The sequence below is a fragment of the Homo sapiens genome, chromosome 12 (assembly GCF_000001405.40).
Source record: "Homo sapiens chromosome 12, GRCh38.p14 Primary Assembly".
NCBI lineage: Eukaryota > Metazoa > Chordata > Mammalia > Primates > Hominidae > Homo > Homo sapiens.
In genome coordinates this window covers 119,074,392-119,094,404 of record NC_000012.12, presented here as the reverse complement: position 1 = coordinate 119,094,404, position 20,013 = coordinate 119,074,392, and the positions used below count along the sequence as shown (strand labels likewise).

The 20,013-nt window shown below is 45.3% G+C and overlaps 1 protein-coding gene across 1 annotated transcript in view, besides 3 other annotated features; it reads right to left on the bottom strand.

Annotated features, from left to right (window-relative positions):
* Positions 1-20,013, bottom strand: part of SRRM4 (serine/arginine repetitive matrix 4) — a 181,511-nt gene that overhangs the window by 68,647 nt on the left and 92,851 nt on the right. The window lies entirely within an intron of this gene.
* Positions 3,644-4,298: an enhancer, noted in NCBI's record as "H3K27ac-H3K4me1 hESC enhancer chr12:119527912-119528566 (GRCh37/hg19 assembly coordinates)". NCBI's record gives its function as "activates a minimal SCP1, AML or CMV promoter by ChIP-STARR-seq in primed H9 embryonic stem cells {active_cell/tissue: H9 hESC(primed)}" and the evidence as "EXISTENCE:reporter gene assay evidence [ECO:0000049][PMID:30033119]".
* Positions 4,575-5,164: an enhancer, noted in NCBI's record as "OCT4-NANOG-H3K27ac-H3K4me1 hESC enhancer chr12:119527046-119527635 (GRCh37/hg19 assembly coordinates)". NCBI's record gives its function as "activates a minimal SCP1, AML or CMV promoter by ChIP-STARR-seq in naive and primed H9 embryonic stem cells {active_cell/tissue: H9 hESC(naive and primed)}" and the evidence as "EXISTENCE:reporter gene assay evidence [ECO:0000049][PMID:30033119]".
* Positions 5,165-5,755: an enhancer, noted in NCBI's record as "OCT4-NANOG-H3K27ac-H3K4me1 hESC enhancer chr12:119526455-119527045 (GRCh37/hg19 assembly coordinates)". NCBI's record gives its function as "activates a minimal SCP1, AML or CMV promoter by ChIP-STARR-seq in primed H9 embryonic stem cells {active_cell/tissue: H9 hESC(primed)}" and the evidence as "EXISTENCE:reporter gene assay evidence [ECO:0000049][PMID:30033119]".

The window sequence follows — 20,013 nt, the reverse complement described above, 5'->3', positions numbered from 1 at the left end:
AGACTGCAGATGCTGATTCTTCAGTAGGTCTGGGGGAGGGCCTGAGTTTCTGCATTTCTAACCAATTCCCAGGTGAGGCTGTTGCTCCAGGAACTACACTCTGAGTAGCCATGTTGTAGATTCTACAAGGAGTTTGAACTTGATCCTGAGGGATGAGCAACATAGACAAGCACAGCTCCCCACCACTCCCTCTCCACAGGCGATGGATGAGAATGGCTTAGTCCAGTTGTCAGGGCTGAGAGCAAGTGTGTAAGAGTGTGGATGTGTGTGAGTGTGTGTGCTTATGAGTGTGTGGTAAACACTCTTATATATCAATAATTGCTTGGTTCTCAAGTTCAGGTCAAAGGACAAAAGAATCATGTGGAGAAAAATCAGCTCAGCATTTCTTGCCCAACTCAGCCAAGCAGGTCAGGCACCCAACCTGACCGGGTTTTGAACTCATCACAGAACACATCCATCCACTGCCCTCCAATCAACCCCACATCCACCCAGTCATTTCTCCCTCCACAGGCTGGCCTATCAATTGCCTATTTGCTTCATGAGAGATAAAACTGCTGAGAAGTGGATTGGATTCGATTGTTGAGACTGCCTAAAATGCAGGCTGCCTCCAACTAGGGAAGGGACTGAATTCCAAAATGTCATAGTTTTCCACTTGAGCAGGGTGTTCAAAAGGTAATTAGGTGATGCTGGGAAAAATGCATGGGACCTGGAGTCCTGCTGACCTGGGTTCAAGTCCTGATTCTGCTAAGTTGTGTCACCATGGGCAAGAATATCATCTCTCCTTCCAGCCCAGGGTCCCCTGGGGATCAGCTGGAATTGCAGACACAGTTAGGATTTCTCCGGGGAGGGCGAGTTGCTAATTATGTTTTCTTGCCATGGGAGGGACAGGACAAGTGAGTCCCTTTTGGGGACCATCACAGCCACTATTAGAAGAAAGACTAAGCAAACAAGAGGGAACTGGGAAGTGGAAAGAAGCCCTAAGCTTAAGAGGAAACCCCCAACCCAGGAAAGGAGGATCCTTGGTACAAGATCTAGGAGAGTGTAAACTGCTCCCAAGAGGTGCTTCCAAGGACCGTTCACTTATTCTTCATTCAACAAATATTTATTGAGCATCTATTATGTGCAGGCACTGGGAACAAGATAGAGAAAAAAACCTTGCTTGGTGGAGCTCACATTGTACTGCAATGGGTGGAGGTAGGAAGAGAGCAGAAAATAAACATAATTAAGTGGTAAATATTAGAAGGTAATAAGTGCTAGGGGGGAGATGGAATACTACTGCGAGGGGCTTGCAATTTTAAACTGGGTAATCAGAGAAGCCCTCATTGAGAAGGTGAGATTTGAGCAAAGACTTGAAAGTGATGAGGGAGTGAGCCTTGAGCATGCCCAGGAGAACATAACAGGCAGAGTGGAGCCAGTGCAAAGGCCCTGAGGCAGGAACATATGGAATGCAGTGAAGAATTAGCAGTGTGGCTGGAGCTGAGGGAGCAAAGGGGAGATTAGTAGGAGGTAAAGTCAGAGAGGTAATGAGGGATCAGGTATAAGAATCTGGTGGGCTTTCACAGGGACTTGGCTCTTTCCTCTCGGTGAGATGAGATGCCATTGGAGGCTTCATTGGATAGATATGTTCTGACTTAGGTTTTAAAGGATCCCTCTGGCATCTTGCTGAGCCTATATGGCCAGGGATCTGGAATAGATACGGAAGACCAGTGAAGAAATGACTACAATAATCCATATGAAGAAGACGGTGGCTGGGGTCAGTGTTTTTTCTGCAGTAGTGATGAGAGGTGGCCAGATTATGGACTTTTATTGAAGGTAGAATCAACAGAGTTTTTGCATGGATTGGCTATGGAGTGTGAAAGAGAGGGGCCAAGGATGACTCCAAGGTTTTAGGTCTGAGCAACTGGGAGGCTCTTGCTGCCAATCACTGAGCTGGAACAACTGAGATGGGGAAGCATGTTTTGGAAGAGTCTTCTAAAGCTCAGTTTTTGAGATGCCAGTTAGATTTTGAGATGTCAGTTAGACATCTATGTTGAGATGGCAAGTGGGCAAGTGGGTACATGAGCCTGGAGTTCAGAGAAGAGATCAGAGCTAGGGAAATGCGTTTGAGAGATGATAGCATTTGGACAGTGTTTAAAGCCAGGAGACTGGATCTTCTGGGAGTAAGATGGAACGAACACCAGGCTAGTAACTAACTAGATTAAGGGTGAAAGTTGAGGAGGGAGGTAAGCTCCAGTGGCATTCTACCAGTGGGGTTTTAAATAAGAAGATGGCTCAATAGAAGTGCCCCAGCCTGGTGGACTGGCTTTTAAAATATAAAGTGACTGACAGCTCCAAGTTATTCATTTAGACACAGTGATTCATTTATTGTTTGTGCGTTTATTCATCCAGTCATTCCTCAGCTATTCATTCACTCATTCATCTGCTAAGCATCATTTTACTCCTGAGGAGGGTTGTTTCAAGATGATCCAAACATAAGCCTCTCCCTCAAGTGCACAGTCCAGAGGAAGGGATGCAGCAGGTACATTAGAAACTCTCATATAGGGGTATGGGGTGGAAGTGGCTGAGAAAGGAGACATCCTGACTGGGGAAAGGCATGTGTGCTCAGAGGATACAAGGCAAGCTGCACAGAGGGGACAGAGTTACTAACCAGGGAGAGTTGGGAGTGCATAGTGAGTAGACCCATCGGATAGACTCTGCCTGACCACTCACCAGCTGGGTGACCTTGGGCAAGTCCTTTCACCTCCCTGGTGAAACCGCAAATTGCAATCACTTTACAAGGTTGCTGCAAGAATGAAATGAGATGATGCATGTCCAGCACTTAGTATCTGGCACATGGTGGTACTTTGAATATCAGCCACATTTTCCAGGAACAGACGACACTGGTCTCCAGCCTCACTTGCAAAGATTGCCTCTGGAGACCCACTCACTGTGACTCTGACTACCTTTCCTCAAACAGCCAAGGCAAGGGATCCTGGGAAGGAGAGGGATGGGAGGTTGAAGTGCTCTTGAGGGTCCCAGGAGATCCCCCTACACTGAGGCCTTGGCTTCCTACCACCAAGCTGAGTGGCTACTTCAGAACCTAGAAATGATCCTGGAACCTAGAAATGCTACAGAAACCCAATTCCTGCTGAGTTCAGGCTTCTCTCTCTACAGTCCAGGGATAAATTTGTCTCTCCCTCCACTGCAGGGTCACTCACAGGATCCTGTCATCAGCTAGAACTGCAGACAGGGGGCTTCTGAGAGGATGGCTCAGTTAGGACTTTCTGCTCTGCAGACACACACACACTCGTGCCAGAGGCTGAGGCTTGGGAGAAAATTCCTAACAAGCAGACAGTAAGCCGCTGCTGAAATCTGCAGAGAGGACAGACCAGACAAGCCACAAATCTCCATGGCAGGCTGTGAGCTCCTGCGGTCTGGGCTTGTTAGTTTTAAAATAACACAGCAAGAAGTGAGATAAAGGGCTTCAGTGGGAGAAGCTGTCAGACACCTTGCTTCACACTTTTGGGGCCACCAGAGGGGTCTCCTTGTCTCTCCTCCTGGGTTACAGAAACTGAGATTGCCAGCTTGGTCAGTTGCATTGTTGCCAGATCAGAGTGAGAACTTGTCAGAGCTGGGCCAGCCTTTGGGGAGCATTGAGTCCAAGCCTGGAGAAACTGAGGTCCAGTAGGGGCGAGTGCTACACTCAGGGACACTTGGTGAGTTAGGGGCTAAGAAAGGACCATCAGCTCTGTTTGTCTGCAGCACAGTGGATGCTGTTGGTCAGATCCTAGATCTCTTTCCAGATAGGTGGGAATGTTGGCTGCAAATGCCTCAGGGATGCCCCTTCCAGAAGATTTTGCCCACTCCTGGTGGGATGTGGGGAGGGAGGCCCATAGCCAATGACTAGCTGACATAGGAGTACAAAAGACCTGCCCCCTTGCCTCAAGGTCAGACCAATTCTATGGTGGAATCCACATTCCAGAGCTCCCCTTAGGATCAGGCTGAGGCTTGAGTCCAGTTGAAACTATATCTTTTCTTAGCTTTCTTCCCCTGTCCTATCCTGCTTCCTCACTCCCTTTCTCCTATCTCAATAAGTCACATGCACGCAGACCTCTATCTCAGGCTTTCTTTCTTGTGAATTCCATCTAAGACATAGACCCACACCATGTTTTCCTCTATCAAACTATTAATACTAAATGCAAAATGATGGTTAAGTATTTAACCATCACTTGCAGAAGACAGATTAAGTGACTCCCCCAAGATCACTGCTTGAAAATGGCAGAATCAACATTTCAGCTCGAGTCTGCCTGATTCCTAAGCTTCCAGGGTCTCCTAGTTATTTGGTCCCTGCCCCTTGTCAACAGAGAAACTGGATTGTATTAACTGGAGTCAAATAGACCTGGGTTTGAATCTGCTTTGCTGCTTCCTGGCTGTGTGACCCACAGGAAGTTCTTTAATATTATCAAGACTTAGTTTTCCCATCTGAGAATGGGAAATGTTATCAGAGATGTTAATATTACCTGCTTCATAAGGCAGTTATAAAATGCATATTTCCCTGTTGCCTAATAAATGTTCAATATATGTTTGATGATGATGATGGTGATGGTGATGATGGTGATAATGTTACTGATGATGATAGTCATGGTAATAATGGTGAGGATGATGATGATGATGATGATATTGAGGATGATGGCAGGATGAATAGAGAGGGTGGTCTATACCAACTCCACCAATCAGCACAGAGTTCTCAGAAGACTCCAACTCTGCAGCTCCAGCACCAATCATCAGCAAGCTCTCAAATCCACCCTTTCCATTCAACCTCCTTTAGGCTTATTCCGTAGGCTCCATCCTTTGTCATTATCATTCTTCTCTGACAAAGGATTCTCCATGGGAGAGAGGGAGCTCTGGAGAGAGGAGATGTCTGGCTTTATGCAAAAGTGGCCATTTCTCAATGCCAACCCAGGCATCCAGCTGTTCCCACCTGTAGGAAATGCCTCCTCCACAGTGATTCTGAATAAGGAGTTGATAGGAAATGTCTGTCCTTCCGTTGGGACTTTTATCTGCCTTTTAAAAGTCAAACCCATTACCTCAGGATTGTGGGTTTATTAGAGAGCTTTATCTTTATTAGGCAGTCAGCTTCATGATTATCTCCTACCAATTGGTGGGTTCCCCGTGGCTCCAAAAGGACTTGGGGTGGTGCGGTGGGTTTCGGCAAAAACAGACTAGGTCATCTTGGCACAGCACCCTCCCGACCACATGGGCAGAGGGTCTATGCTAAGATGGGCTCTCATATGGGCTCTCTTTAAACTGCATGGCTTCTCTGTTGATGAGGGGCAGGGACTGAACAACCAGGAGACACCGGGGGCTTGGGAATCAGGCAGACTCGAGCTGAAAAGCTGATCCTGCCATTTTCAAGCTGTGATCCCGGGCGAGTCACTTCATCTCTCTTCTGCAAAACTGGGATAACGATAGTGTCCAGCTCCTGGAGATGATGCACGCAAAGTGCTTAACACCATTCCTTGTGCAGAGTAAGCACTTAATCAATGTTAGCTGTCACTGTAATTGTAATTATTCATTGTAAATAGCCTTTGGGACCTAGTCTTCCAACCTCTCTGGCTTTGTTCAAGCTGATCCCTCTGCCCAGAGTGCCTTCTCTACCCTTGTCTGTCAGGAGAAGCCTCACTCATCCTTCATATCTCAGCTTAACTATCCCAACCTCCTTTTGTGGCCCCCCACTTATTACCCACCCCCACGCCCCCCAAAAGGAATCAATTCTTTACTGCACTGTGTTCCAGCATCTCTTTGTGAATCCCTCCAAGACATCACTGGTGGCCTTGGGCAAAGTCCTTCAACTATTTAAGCCTCGGTTTTCTCATTTTAAAGATGAGGATGATAATACCTTACGTATTGCAGTAGCTATGGGAAATATACATTAAACTAAGCACAATGTTTTATTATTATAATTATCATTGCAATTATTATTGAAGGAGGCTCAGTAACTTCAATATAAGAAATAATTTCTGCTTGGTGAGGAGCCCTGTGGATTATTCTTTCCCAATCACCGTTGAGGGGGGTGCATGACTTTTAATTTGCCTGGAATCCTTTGCGGAACCTGAAGTCAGGGGACTGGCCCCAGTGACCTCTGATGAAGCTGTCCAATTCCAGGACTTTTGTAAGTCAGATTCTTCTCTGGATGGAAGTCATCCCCATCATTTTATCTCCTTCTGAGTATTGTGGGGCAGCACAGTAGGGCCCAGAACCTACCAATGTGGCCCATAATCCCCCAATTTAAGGATGAGAGCTGTCATCTCCCAACACAGCAATTATGTTCAAAGGCTGAAGCATGGGCCTACCAACTTCCCCAGCTCATTGTGTCAGAGTAAAGGGACCTCACATTTATTGAGGACCTAGTATGTACTAAGCACCTCATCAGACAATTAAAACCCATCATTTCATTTAAGTCCCATAGTAAACTCTTGAGGTGGGTATTGTAAGAGTCGTTTTTAGATGAGAAAACAGGCTCAGAGAGGTGCAGTGGCTTGCCTGAGGACACGCAGTGAGCAAGTGAGGGAGCCCAGTGTTCTCAAGGAAAGGTGGCTGCGTGTGCCTGGTCTCCAGACTGAGCATGGGCCCCACTCCAGACAGACCTGTGTCTACACAGTTTTTGGTATAATTATGTCTCTTTCCACTGCGGATCATGTCTCTGCATCCCCCATGCTGACTGCTATTCCATCTTCTCCCTATTTCCTCTCCTATGCCCAGTTCCCAGGCTGCTGTCTGCACAGTCTATAGACTGAGACACTCAGTCAATCAGCCAGCTTCCTCCGACAGCTAAAAAAACACCCCATCGACCAATATTCCCTCCAGCGCGTTTCTGGGGACCATGAAACCTCACTAATTTGGAATTTGCAATGATTTCTGACACAGAACTTTCATTTCTCATTCCAATAAAAAAAAGTCCGAATGAAATGTCATTACATGGACCTCTGGGAGCTTCTGAGCCAGGCCCTGGCAGGCAAAAGGCCCTGTTTCCACTCCTTTTTCCTCCTTGTTCCTTCTCCTGGCTTCTTTCACCTGCCTCTATCTCTATGGTTGGATTTTATGACTGACAGCACCATTGTCAATGCTGTTATTCCCACTAGTTACAGTGGATATTCGTGGAGCACCAGCTATGTGCTGGGTACTGTTCTAAGTGCTTTGCATGTGTTTGATCTTGTCATTCTCATGGCAATTATTAGAGGCTGGTACAATGATCAATCCTGTTTTACCAATGAAGAAACTGAGGTCATAGGAGATCCCATTAAAAGGTGGTAGAGAAGGAATTTGAACCCAGACGATCTGACTCCAGAGTCCATGGTTTTAACCCTTTCACCATAGTACACCTCTTGGGGTGGACACCATGGGAACCACGCGTAGATCCTCCAGCCCCAGCACTGCCTCCCACCTTGGGCATCTGAGAGCAACACATAATGGGGCAAGAAAGCTTTGTATCCTTCTACAGCTGTGAGATTGGTGTTTAGAGTTGGGGTTTGGAACTCTACCTCCAGACTTCAGTCACAATGGACACTGCTGAGTGAGATCCTTCAAAAGAAATCGGTGGCAAGGACTTTGAGAGGGATCTTTTCTAGGCTCAAAACTCTGGGGGTATTCGTTGCCCTTAGGGATCAACCATCTAGCCAAAGCTCTGGCTTCTTCCTACAGCTATTTTGATCTATATGGCTGATACAGATAAGAAACACACAACCAGAAAGCTGTGCACCAGCCCACTCCCTCTTCCCCATGAAGGGGCCCTGCTGCATCCTTCTGCATAAGCCCAGACTGCACTTGCCTCTGTGAATGTACACTATGGCATCCTCCTTTTCAGGGAGCAAAACATCAACCACTCTGGTTGCTCTAGAGTATAGTTTGAGTAGAAGAGGCCATAACATTCAGAAAAATTCATGGCTATGGCTTGGTTCCACCAGTTACCTATTTGGCTGGTGGGGTGAAGACAGAGTCTTGTTTCCCTGTACAAATATTTCTCAGCCCCTGGTGGTGGGACCTGTGGCTGAGACAAGGGTTGGGAACAGGATGGAAGCAAAGCACTTTAGATGGATCAGACATCTCTCAGCCACAATGAAACTGCCTCTCTAGGAACTGCATATTCATAGCCATATTTTTACTTGCGCCCAACTAAGAATATCCAAATAAGTATATAGGGTGTATCCTTTTGTGTGTGTGTATGAGGGACGTGGAGCCTGGACCCAGATGTTTTCAATATCCAGATGTGCCATACAGGCAGGTTAGTTACGTTGAGGGTGGCCCTGTAATCCATTGTTCAAACTGGGATGCTTTGGGGAACAAAAAGGATGTTAACAATAAGTGCCTAGGTGTTTGGCCTTCCTGGTCATCTCTTTTTCCTAAAGAGGCTTGAGTGTTCTTTCTACCTCTCCACATGAAAGTCCCACAGGCACCTCAAACTTAATGTGACCAAACGTCAACGTGTTACCTGCCTTACAAAGTGTCCTCTAGCTCTACCGGCTTCCTACTCATCCAAGCAGCAGCCTGGCCACCACCCTCCATCCTCTTTCTCTCACTTTCTTGCCCATTCTGACTCCAAAGCATCTCAGCCTCCATCTCCATTGCCACCTCCTGGTCCAAGCCACCACCGTCTCTCACCCAGACAACTGCAGCAGCCTCCAGAGCAGCTTTTAGCTTTCACCCTGACCCTGGCCAGCCTGATGTCCATGCAGGAGACAAAGCTGTTTTTCCAAAATGCAGATTGGATCATGTTATTCTCTTGTGCAGAGCCCCCAAAAGCAGGTCCAAACTTCTCAACATGGCTCTCATGCGTCTTCAATTTCTGGCGTCACCTACTTCTCTAGGTTTGTCATTCTCAGCTGCTTCTCACTCACCATGCTCAAACCATCTGAAGGCCTTGCAGTACTCTGAAAAGTCCCAGCATCTTGGCTGTCTTTGTTCTTTCTGCTAGATGCAGCAGAACATGAAACTCAAGGGCATGGCCTGGAGCCAGACTGCTGGGTTCAAACCCCAGTGCTGCCACTCTGTGACCTTGAGCAATTGACTACCTTTCAGGGCTTCAGGTCATCGTATGTAAGATGAGGGTAATAATAGCACCTACCTCACAGGGTTATTGCAAGGATTAATGGTGAAAATATGTAAAGCTGTTGGAATAGTGCCTGAAATAGTAAGTGCTCTGTGTTTGCTAATTAAAAAATGGCATTGGCCAGCCTCAGTGGCTCACGCCTGTAATCCCAGCACTTTGGGAGGCCAAGGCAGGTGGATCCACCTGAGGTCTGGAGTTTGAGACCAGCCTGGCCAACATGGTGAAACCTCATCTCTACTAAAAATACAAAAATTAGCCCAGCGTGGTGGTGGGCAGCTGTAATCCCGGCTACTCGGGAGGCTGAGACAGGAGAATCGCTTGAACCCAGGAGGCGAAGGTTGCAGTGAGCCAAGATCGCACCACTGCATTCCAGCCTGGGCAACAAAGAGCAAAACTCTGTCTCAAATAAATAAAGAAATAAATATTTTTAAAAACTGGCATCATTCACCTTGCCTCCTTCAACTTGATCATCTCCTGCCCATTTTTCAGATTTCAATTCAGATGTCACCTCTTTCAGGAAGCCTCCCCTGACTATTCAGCCTGTTGTGTCCCTTCTTTGTGTGCACAATCCCCCTCCATTGCAATTCTCTATTTTGCCCCACCGGACTATGAGAATTTTGAGGCATAGCCTGAGACTTCTGCTCCATTTTATCCTCAGCACCTAAGAAAATGATGGGCCCTCCATCCGTCTTCAGTAAACATTGGTTGAATGAGAGAACCAACTAGAGAAATAGCCCAATCAAGCCAGCAAGGGAGAGGTTAACTAAGGGGGCAGGCAGCAGATGGCAGTGTATCTCACTATCAGTGTAGCTACAAATAGTCCACTGGAGGCAATTCCTGAATCTCAGTACACTGGGATATGTAATACATATTTCTTCAAGATAGGCAGGTACTGAAGGGCAGATGGGTTTCCGCAGAGGATGCTGCACACAGAAATAGTGCATGACTCTAGTCCTCATATCCTGCTGTGATGTCCAGTTGTTTGCCTGCCTTCCCCTCTCACCTTCCAGAAGAGGTAGCTCCTCAGTTCCAGGGTGCAGAGGACAATAGAATCCCTCTGTTTGGTGTTCAGGAGTTCTCTTCCCCTGCTCTCTTCCCTCTCCTCTCCTCCAATATTCACCTTCTACAGCAGTCAGACTGTGATCTCAGAGGGCTGGGTTCAAATTCCAGCTGTGCCACAGACTTGCTATGTGATCTCAGGCAAATGAATTTCCCTCTCTTTGCCTCAGTTCCTGCACCTGTAAAATGGGAAGTGTAATAGCGCTTGCTGTGTAGGGCCGTAGTGAGGATTCAATGAGGTGATGCACTTTGTAATGTGCATGGCTTATGGCAATAGCTCAGTGATGCTTTGCAGGACATAAAAAATAACCCCAAATTCTACGTCTTGTCTGTGCTGTTCTGCCCACTTCAAATGCCTTCTCCCTGTGTCTCTGCATGGCCAAGTCCTATTGATTGGATCTTCTCTGTGTATTTAGATGCCCAGCTGCTGTTATCTCCTCTAGCACAAATCCAAGCTCACTGTAGGCACCTAGCAATGTTCTGGGCAGCTGCACTGTCAGCTCAGCTCTGAGGACAATAGTTCTGAGTCCATTTTCCAAAGCACCAGCTGACCAGCAAATGTCCCTGGCCATCTTGGGAATGGGACCATTCCCTTATATGCAGCATTAGACATAAGAATTCTGGGGCAAGTAATTTATTTGTGACATGATCCTAGGATGCTCTGGTAAGGACATTGGGAAGGGAAACAGGGAAGAAAGCCAGTTACTGCTGCAGGTGGCTGGAGCTTAATATCTCTGGGGAATCCTGGGAACCTGTGCAGGCTATAGACCTCAGAATTGTTCCACCTAAGCACCAGGGAGCTGGGATATTTATCCACCAGCTCCCATCAGTCATTAGTTGAAGGCTGCTCCAAAGAGACAGTAATTCTTGCCTTGTGTATGGCAGAAATCAGGGAAGGCTTCCTGGAAGAAGTGATGCCTATATTAAAATCTGAAAAATGGACAGGAGGTGATCAAGCTGAATGAGGCAAAATGAAAATGCTCCATGACCGGAGTACACTCAGGTAAGGAGTCGCAGGTCCCATGAGTTAGAAGTCAAGCTGGTGTGCTCAGAAATTGTGGGTGGTTGGGGGGAAATGGGCAGGTCAGTGACAACACTGGCTACTTTGGCTGTGCCTGGGAACTGAGTAGGGTCTGAAGGGCTGCAGCACATGGCTGTGCTCCAGAAAAAAGATCAACTGCCCAACTGCCCTGGAGCTTTCACAAGGGGGGTCCTGAATTGAAGGAAACACCAGACTTCACTCCCCTTATCAAATCCTCCTCTCCTTCCCCGCTTTCCTTCCTATGTTCTTTCTCTCCTTCCTCAGATCTTTCTTGAGCTTCTGCTCTGCTAAGCAGTCTTAGGGCATAAAGATCAGGCAGAATGCTAAAGTCCCCAAGTCCAAACCCTTCTCCATATAAGGCTCAGAGAAGGGACCTGACCTGCTCTGGGTCATATAGCCAGTGAGTGGCAAAGCAGCAAGCAGAGCCCTGCTTTTCTGACATCTTGTGCTTCAGGCTACACTGGAGGGCTCTTCTGGAGACTCTGTCACTGCTCACTCTGCCAGAACTGCTTCCCCTGGCTGGAGGCCCAGGGTGGGGCTGGCTCCAGGATGAGGAGGTCAAACGGGGCTGCTGGGTGCAGGGCTGGCAGCAAGTGAAGCCTTCATCTCATCACAGCGCCCGCGGGGCTGAATCACCAGCTAGGATGGCTTGGCTCAGCATTCAAATGCATCCTTATGCACTGCAACAGTCTGAGGAAGAAAATAGGATTTTGCCTTTTGTTGCAATTTAAAAGAAGGGGGGGAAATCACGAGCACATTCTCCTTCTCGCTAGAGAGCAGCCCATTTGAGAAGATCAATCAAAGGTTTTCTGCCAAAGCCCCTACAGGTCCACATTTTCCCAAATTACACTGGCTGAAAGGAAGATGGGAGATGCTAAGAAAGAAATGATGAGGCCAGCGTGGTGGAGGCGGGGATGGGGGGTGGCTTTACATCTAATGGAAGAGGAGGAGGGACAGAGGCTGGACAGGGTGTGGGACTTCTCTTTGTGGAGGGTCTTGGCTCTTGTTCAAAGGAGCGGCTGAGCCCTTTAGAGGCCCCTGCTGGGAGTTCAGCCCACTCTCTGTAACTCCTGCCGAATAATGAGGCTGATCCTGGGACCCACAAGTCCAAGCCAGGAATGCTACAAACTCGAGAAACAATCTCTCCCTGCAGAACAACCCAGTGGCTGTCAGCTACTGTGTGGCGTGCTGATCCGTCATGATCAACTGTAAGCTCTGTCATGGCTTTGCTACTAATGATTATTAAAGACTAAAATTTGAGAATGGTTTCCAATTAAAGTAAAGGTATAAATACATGAATCTTCATCATCTCCGTTAATGGCAGCTCTTGTTAGCTGTTCTGGTGGTAACCTTGGTGTTGTCCTTGACTTCTCTCTTTCAGACCCCAGTTCTGACCTATCAGCAAATCTAGATGCTAACTTCAAAGTACATTCAGAATCCAATCACTTCTCTCATGTACATGGCTAGCGCCCTGGTCCAGGCCCTCATCATCTTGCACCTGCATTATTGCAAAGGCCTCCTAATGGGTCTCCCTGCTTCTTGCCTTCCTGCATCCTGTTCCCCAGAAGGCGGCTGGCGGGATCCTACTCAAATTAAGCCACATCATGGTGCTGCTCCAGTCAAAGCCCTCTGATCACTTCCCTAAAGCCAAAGTAACTACAAGGTCTACACAGTCCGGCCCCTGTTACCACTCTGACCTCACTTCCTGCTCCTTTCCCCTTGTTCTCTCCACTCTGGTCCCACAGGTCTCTTTGCTGTTCCCTGATGCACCAGTTACACTCCTGCCTCAGGAGTTTTGCACGGGCTGTTCCCACTGCCTAGAACACTCTTTCTCCAAATAGCTACAACTTCCTTACTTTCTTCAAGTCTTTGCTCAAATATGACCTTTTTAGTGATACGTGTTCCCTGACAAGCCTATACAAACGTGATTTAAAATGGTACTCCCTCCCCAATGTATGTTTCTCTCCTCCTGCTTTATTTCTGTCTATAGTATTTATTACCCTGTAATATAATATGATCATTTACATATTTGTGCTGTTTATTGGACGAGCCCCTTACTCCCACTAGAATCTAAGTTTCATTAGGGTAGAGGTTTTTGGTCTGTTTCATTCACAGCTATTTCTCGGATCTTTGAATAGTGCCTGGTATACAGTAAAGGCTCAATTAATATTTGTTAAATGAACAAGCAAATGGATTCCAAATTCCTTCTATGATAAAGCTCCTCACCCTCAGTTGTGTTCTGTTATGCTTTCTTAAGCAGGAAAGAAAGGTGCGGATTGGGGCTTGTGTGCTCAGAATGTTAACATCATGTGACCTTGGGTTTATGCATGGGGCTATGTTATGTATGTAAACATCACCTGTTATACGTCTGGACTCTTGAAAAAAGAGAGATTGAAGACTAACGAATGAGTAGATTTAGGGCACTTCACAGCCTTTGTTGCTGTGTGGCTTTGAAGCTGTTGCCTGCTCTCGCTCTGAGAGATAGCTGAGAAATAATGCAATGGTAATTGCTCCCAGAATGACTTTGGTTCAGGTCCTGGCTCTGCCACCCCTAGCTGAGTGATTTTGACTAAGGAACTTAACTTCAGAAACTTCTGTTTTTCCCACGTGCAACATGGGAAGAAGGAGCCACATGGTGGGAGAGATGACACACATGAGTGTGAGCTTTGGAATTAACATCAGGACTTGAGTCGAGCCACTTACTATCTGTGAGTTTCTCTTTCATAACCTTAAATGTTTATAACCTAAGACCATTGTTGTGAGGATTAAATGAGTTATCACATAGACAATGGTGTGGAAATAATAACAGGTAATACCTTAGTACTTATATTCTAGTCATTGTTCTAAGTGCAATATATATATGTTAATTATATAATTATATTATACATAATTTAGTGCTCACCACAATGCTGTGAAGACAATATTTTTTCTCCTATTTTAAAGGAGAGGAAACTGAGGCACAGTGTGGTTAAGGAATTCACCTGAGGTCACGACACAGCAAAGCCAGGTTTCAAAGATGTAAAACCAACCCTTCCTCCTTCCTCCCTGAGTAGAACCACCGAGGTCCCAGAGATCCCGACACCTGTCATACCAGCTAACAAAGGTTAGGGGTTAAGACAGGATGACACCCCACGTTTTCCAGGCATGGATGTACATCTTTAAGAATCAGAGTTCTCCTGAGCATTTGAGTGGAGAGGGGCACCGGTAGCTGAATTCGGGTTGATTAAATCAAGGAGAAAATCAATTAAATTTAAATAAAGAAAAAGATTGGAAATCAGGCACAATGCCTTCTTAATTACAATGCCCAATCACTGGCTGAAAAAAAAAACTTCAGAATATTTCATTTCATATACGGCCTTGTATATCTGAAATGAGAGGCTTCTAATGAAATGCACATTACCCCACTTGACTAGTAATTGACTAGGCGATCCCAACAGTTTCATGGGTGGAAAGGATCGGGCATAATAACCAGCACTTTTTAAGGATGTGACAACATAGGATGCTTCGGGGGTTTACAGTGGGGTAGCTGACCCCCAAGTCCTCTTTCCTTTGCAGTACAACTCACAACTCTCCCGACAAAGTGTGCGACCACAGGGCAAGGCTAAGTGTGCAATGCGGCAGGTGAACATGAGTAAATGGCTTTTCTCTGCAGTTTAGAGTCATTGCAAACACACGAGGCTGGGGAAGATCACCAGCAATCAGAGACCAAATGCCTCAAAGAAATTGCTCTGACAAGTATCCCTGCTATTCAGATCTTGGACTGTAGCCTTCTAATTGGTCTCTCTGTCTCCCATCTCTCTCCTGCCAATCTTTCTTGTCCACTGCAGCTAGGACCGTCTTTATAAAGCATACCTCACTGAGTCACTTTCATGATTAAAATCCTTTGGATTCCTCTTGAGATAAGAAGAGTTCAGACTCCCGACTGTGGCTCAGGAGGCCAGACACGATCCAGTCTCAGCCCATCATTTCTGAAGTTCTTGTTTCCTCCTTCTGTATCCTTGGTTCCAAGAATACCAACCTGATAGTGCCACCCCAAATCTTTCTTGCTGTCATGATTTCATGTCTTCACATATGAAGTTCCCTCCACCTGCAACACCTTTCTCTCCCATCCCTAATTCACTCACACCTGCATCACATCCTCCTGGACCACCCCCTCACCTGGCTGGGTGTGCAGCCCTTCTCCTGTGCTTTTGGTCTGTTTTGTCCACAGAATCTAACACAGCGTCCAGCCCAGAGTGCGTCCTTAAAGATGTGCTTTAAGGTTTTCACCTTTTTATTTTTTATTTTTTTGATACAAGTCTTGCTCTGTTGCCCTGGCTGGAGTGCAGTGGTGTGGTCATAACTTAATGTAGCCTTAAATTCCTGGGCTTGAGTGATCCTCCTGCCTCAGCCTCCAGAGTAGCTGGGACTACAGGCACATGCCACTACACTTGGCTAAATTTTGAATTTTAAATTTTTTTTTGTAGAGACGGGGTCACACTACATTGCCCAGGCTTGCCTCAAACTTCTGGGCTCAAGCAATCCTCCTGCCTTGGCCTCCCAAAGTGCTGGGATTACAGGCATCAGCCATCATGCCCAGCTTAAAGGCTTTGTGGAATGAATGACTGTAGATTTGCCAGTGATACTGGATGATGTATAGCCTCCCCCTTGCAAGATGAGGCATCAGCAACACCATCTTTCTCTCAGGATGCTTTCTTGCCTTTTTGACTATGAATGAGTGTGATTAGGCTCACTGTCTCCTTATTCTGGCCCTTTAAGGATATGTGCAGCAGTGACTAGGGCTCTTAGAAATGAACACCATTGATTCAGTTGTCCAGTCATTCAGACATCCTGCCCCCATTAATTGTGCACCTGTAATTGCCCAGCATCAAACTGGGCACCTGAGCTTCAGGAAGCTGACTAAGGTGGTATCTCTGCCCCATGATAAGTTATAGCTCAGTACACAACTAGTGGGCAAATGGATGCTTATAATACCAGGACATAAGGGTTGAATAGAGTCCCTCAATGATTCCTTTTATAGAGGAGGGAGCTGAGGCTATATGCTATAGTTTTCCCAAAGTCATGAAAATGATATCCAGTAGACACGTGAATAACGTACATCCCACCTGCCACTCCTCAAGCTGCTTATGTTGTCTTTGGGTAGAGGAGGGTCTTCAGAACCACCCACAGGCAGACCCAGTGAATAAGACCTCAGCTGGATATGCCTAGATGCATTTGAGCATAGTTGAGGCTAGGATTTGAGCTAGTGAGAGGCAAAGTGACTCCATGAAGTGAAGATTGAGAGATCAAGAACCCTATATGTGGGGCATCTGGAAAAGGTCCACTTTATAGTGTTGGGGAGAGAGAAAGTTCCCCTAAAATCACTCTTATTGTCTGTAGTTTATGGAAGGTAATTGTTGGACCACTCATTAAATTCATTCCTTCATTTGTTCATTCATTGAACAAATATTTATGGGATAGCTACTGTGTGCCAGATAGGGTACTAAGAGCTTTGTAGACATTTTCTCACTTAATACATAACCCTTGAATTAAAGTTGATTTTAAGATATTATTATAATTGCTACCATGTTGCAGATGCGGAACCAGAAGTCAGAAAGGAAAATAACTTGCCCAGCTAGTTATCATTAATAATAATGATAATAGTTGACATTTTGGGGTCATTTATTACATGCCCAGCACTGTGCTAAGCTAATATGACAAATTTAATCCTCTCAGTGAAGTTATGAGGTAGGTACCATTAATTTCCCACCTTACAGATGAGATGATTGATGTTCAAAAAGATAAAATAACTTGCCCAAGGTCAACAGCTGGTACATGATAGAGCCAGAATCGTAAGTGTGTTAATTCCAAGTCTAGTATTTCTCAGTGTGGCCCATGGATCACTTATATCAAAATCACCTAGGACAGTTGTGTGAAATGAAAACTTCTGGGCCCACATCAGACCCCAGGATTTGAAGGCAAGGCACAGGAATCTTCATTTATACAACGTTCCCAGGTGATTCTTACACTTTCTAAAGTTTGAGAATTTTATTGCCATTCTGTAGGTAGGGACCCAGTAGCTTTCAACATAAAATAAATATCCCATTTGACTTTATCACTCAACTGATTTGGAAAAGCATACTGAAGGGAGAAAATCAGTGAAACTCTCCCTCGGTCTCAGGAGAACTGCAAGAGATATACAACAAAGACTCCAAAGGCATTTTGATGCCAGTACTCCAGCAGATGTGTTTACGCAAGTCAGTTTGATTACAGGTGCTAAAAATACCCCCTTTAAATTTAGGAGCCCAGAACATTTCCCAGTGCTTTACCAAAAAGCAGTTTTTAAAAATTCTTAATTCTTTCCTAACCCCCACCTCCTACAAGTTATTAGTATTGATGCTGGAGCCCCAGAGTTTGCTATCGAGAATTATAATGGCAAATCATGGAGACATTTTCTCTGATTACAGAGATTCTGTGTGTTTGGCTTCCACCTCCCTGAGAGCGGTTCCTCTGAATCAGCAAAGCGCCAGCTGTACTCTTGCACTTCCTTGGGGTGGTTGAATTTCAGATCTCGACAACTTCCCAAAATAAATTTTCTATTCAGTGTGACCAGCCCTTACTTCTTTCTCCTCAAACGCTTTTATTACATTTCTTACTTTACAACTTTGATATCATTTTAATATATGAGAAGTTCAAAGACTTAATTCGCAGATGAGGAACTGAAGCAGAGAGAGGAGAGTAACTTGCCTGAAGAGACAAAGCCATGTGAATGGCAGGGAGGAGCCCAGGCATCCTGTGTCTGAATGCAGGGTTCTCCTGATACCACGCTTCCATCTCCTGGAATTCTGATCCCCATCACCTATTAGCTTACAAGTTTAGGCAAATAACCCTCTCAAAGCCATTTTTTTTTCCATCTGTAAAGTGGGTATAACAATACTGTCCACTTCAAAGGGTGATTGTGAGAATTAAATGAGTTAATCCATGCAAAATGCTAAGCACAGTGGCTGGTATATAGTAAACCCTCAATAAATGGCAGCTGTCATTGTCATCACTGTCATTATCATCATCATTGTCATCATCATCATCATTATTCCCATTGTCATCATCATCATTCATTGTCACTATCCTCATCACCATTGTTATCGTCACCATCATTATTATTATCATTACCATTACTACCATCACCATCATCACTATCATCATCACCATCACCACCATCATCATCATCGCCACCATCACCACCATCATCAGCACCATCATCACCATCACCACCACCACCATCATCATTACCACCATCATCATCACCATCACCACCATCATCATCATCATCACCATCATCGCTACCATCATCATCACTACTACCATCATCATCACCACCACCATCATCAACATCATCATCATCATCACCATCACCATCATCACCGTTATCATCACCATCATCATCACCATCATCGCTATCATCATCACCACCATCATCACCATCATCATTACCACCATCATCATCACCATCACCACCATCATCAACATCACCATCATCACCATCTTCATCATCACCATCATCACCATCATCATCACCATCATCGCTACCATCATCATCATCATTACCACTATCATCATCACCATCACCACCATCATCAACATCATCATCATCATCATCACCATCATCACCATTATCATCACCATCATCATCACCATCATTGCTACCATTATCACCATCATTACCACCATCATCATCACCATCACCACCATCATCATCACCATCAGCACCATCATCATCACCATCATCACCATCATCATCACCATCATCATCATTACTGTCATCATCACCATCATTATCATCATCATCATCATCCTCACCATCATTACCATCATAATCGTCATCATCATCATCCAGTCCAGATCCCATGCTGATGCAATAAGTAGTTATTAATATCAGAAAATTATTAATTTTTTTTACTTTGCTCATTTTTTTAAATAAGAAGAAACAATATCTGGCACATTGTGTCAGAATATTTGTTAGATGTTTTGTGAATGAATAAGAAAGATCCAAAATGATGAACCTCATTCAAAGTTTTGAACCAATTAACATTTATTTCAATTGGAGCTTAGGGATGGTGACCACTGGTTTTTGACTTTCACCTGATCCATCAGACCTTACAGAAGGGACACTGGCCTCTATCACTGCTTATCCATCAGGGCTCACTCAAATCCCCGTTCCCTTGGAGTCCTCAATCCCACCTTCTGTGAGTGTCTTCCACATTCTTTGGCCTCATAGATTTTCTCTTCCATCTCACAGGAATTCATTTTTCTCACCAAGAAAGGTGAGGCACAAGAAAATGTCTAATATATCATGAGGGCAAGGACTGCAACTTGCCTTGTAGTTAGTGTGTCATATGTATGTGATGGGGTGAATTCATTGGCTTATTTTTAGGGTTGCATAGGGCTTTTAAATAATCTCCTAAGCCCCTAGACAAGTGGCTTCTATAACAATCACAGGGTCAGGGGTGTGGTGGTTTAAAAAATGTCATTGTGTAGGCTGTCTTTGATCGATGTCATCTCAGATTAACAAAACAGAATCTCTAGGGCAAGTAATAAGGTGCTGGTACTTTTTAAAAGCATCTCCTTTCTCCCAGCAATTTATTCTAATATAGAGCCAGAGGTGATACCTACTCTTTTCCTCTTCATATGTATATGTGATTTTCAAGCCCACCTGACTGGAAGCCCACTGGGTACAGGTCATATACTTGTCTTTGCATCTGTAGCCTTACCACAAGGCTTATAGGCACTTAATAAACATTTATTAAGTTGGGCAATAATCTTTTATACTAAACACCGTGACCCTTGTTGG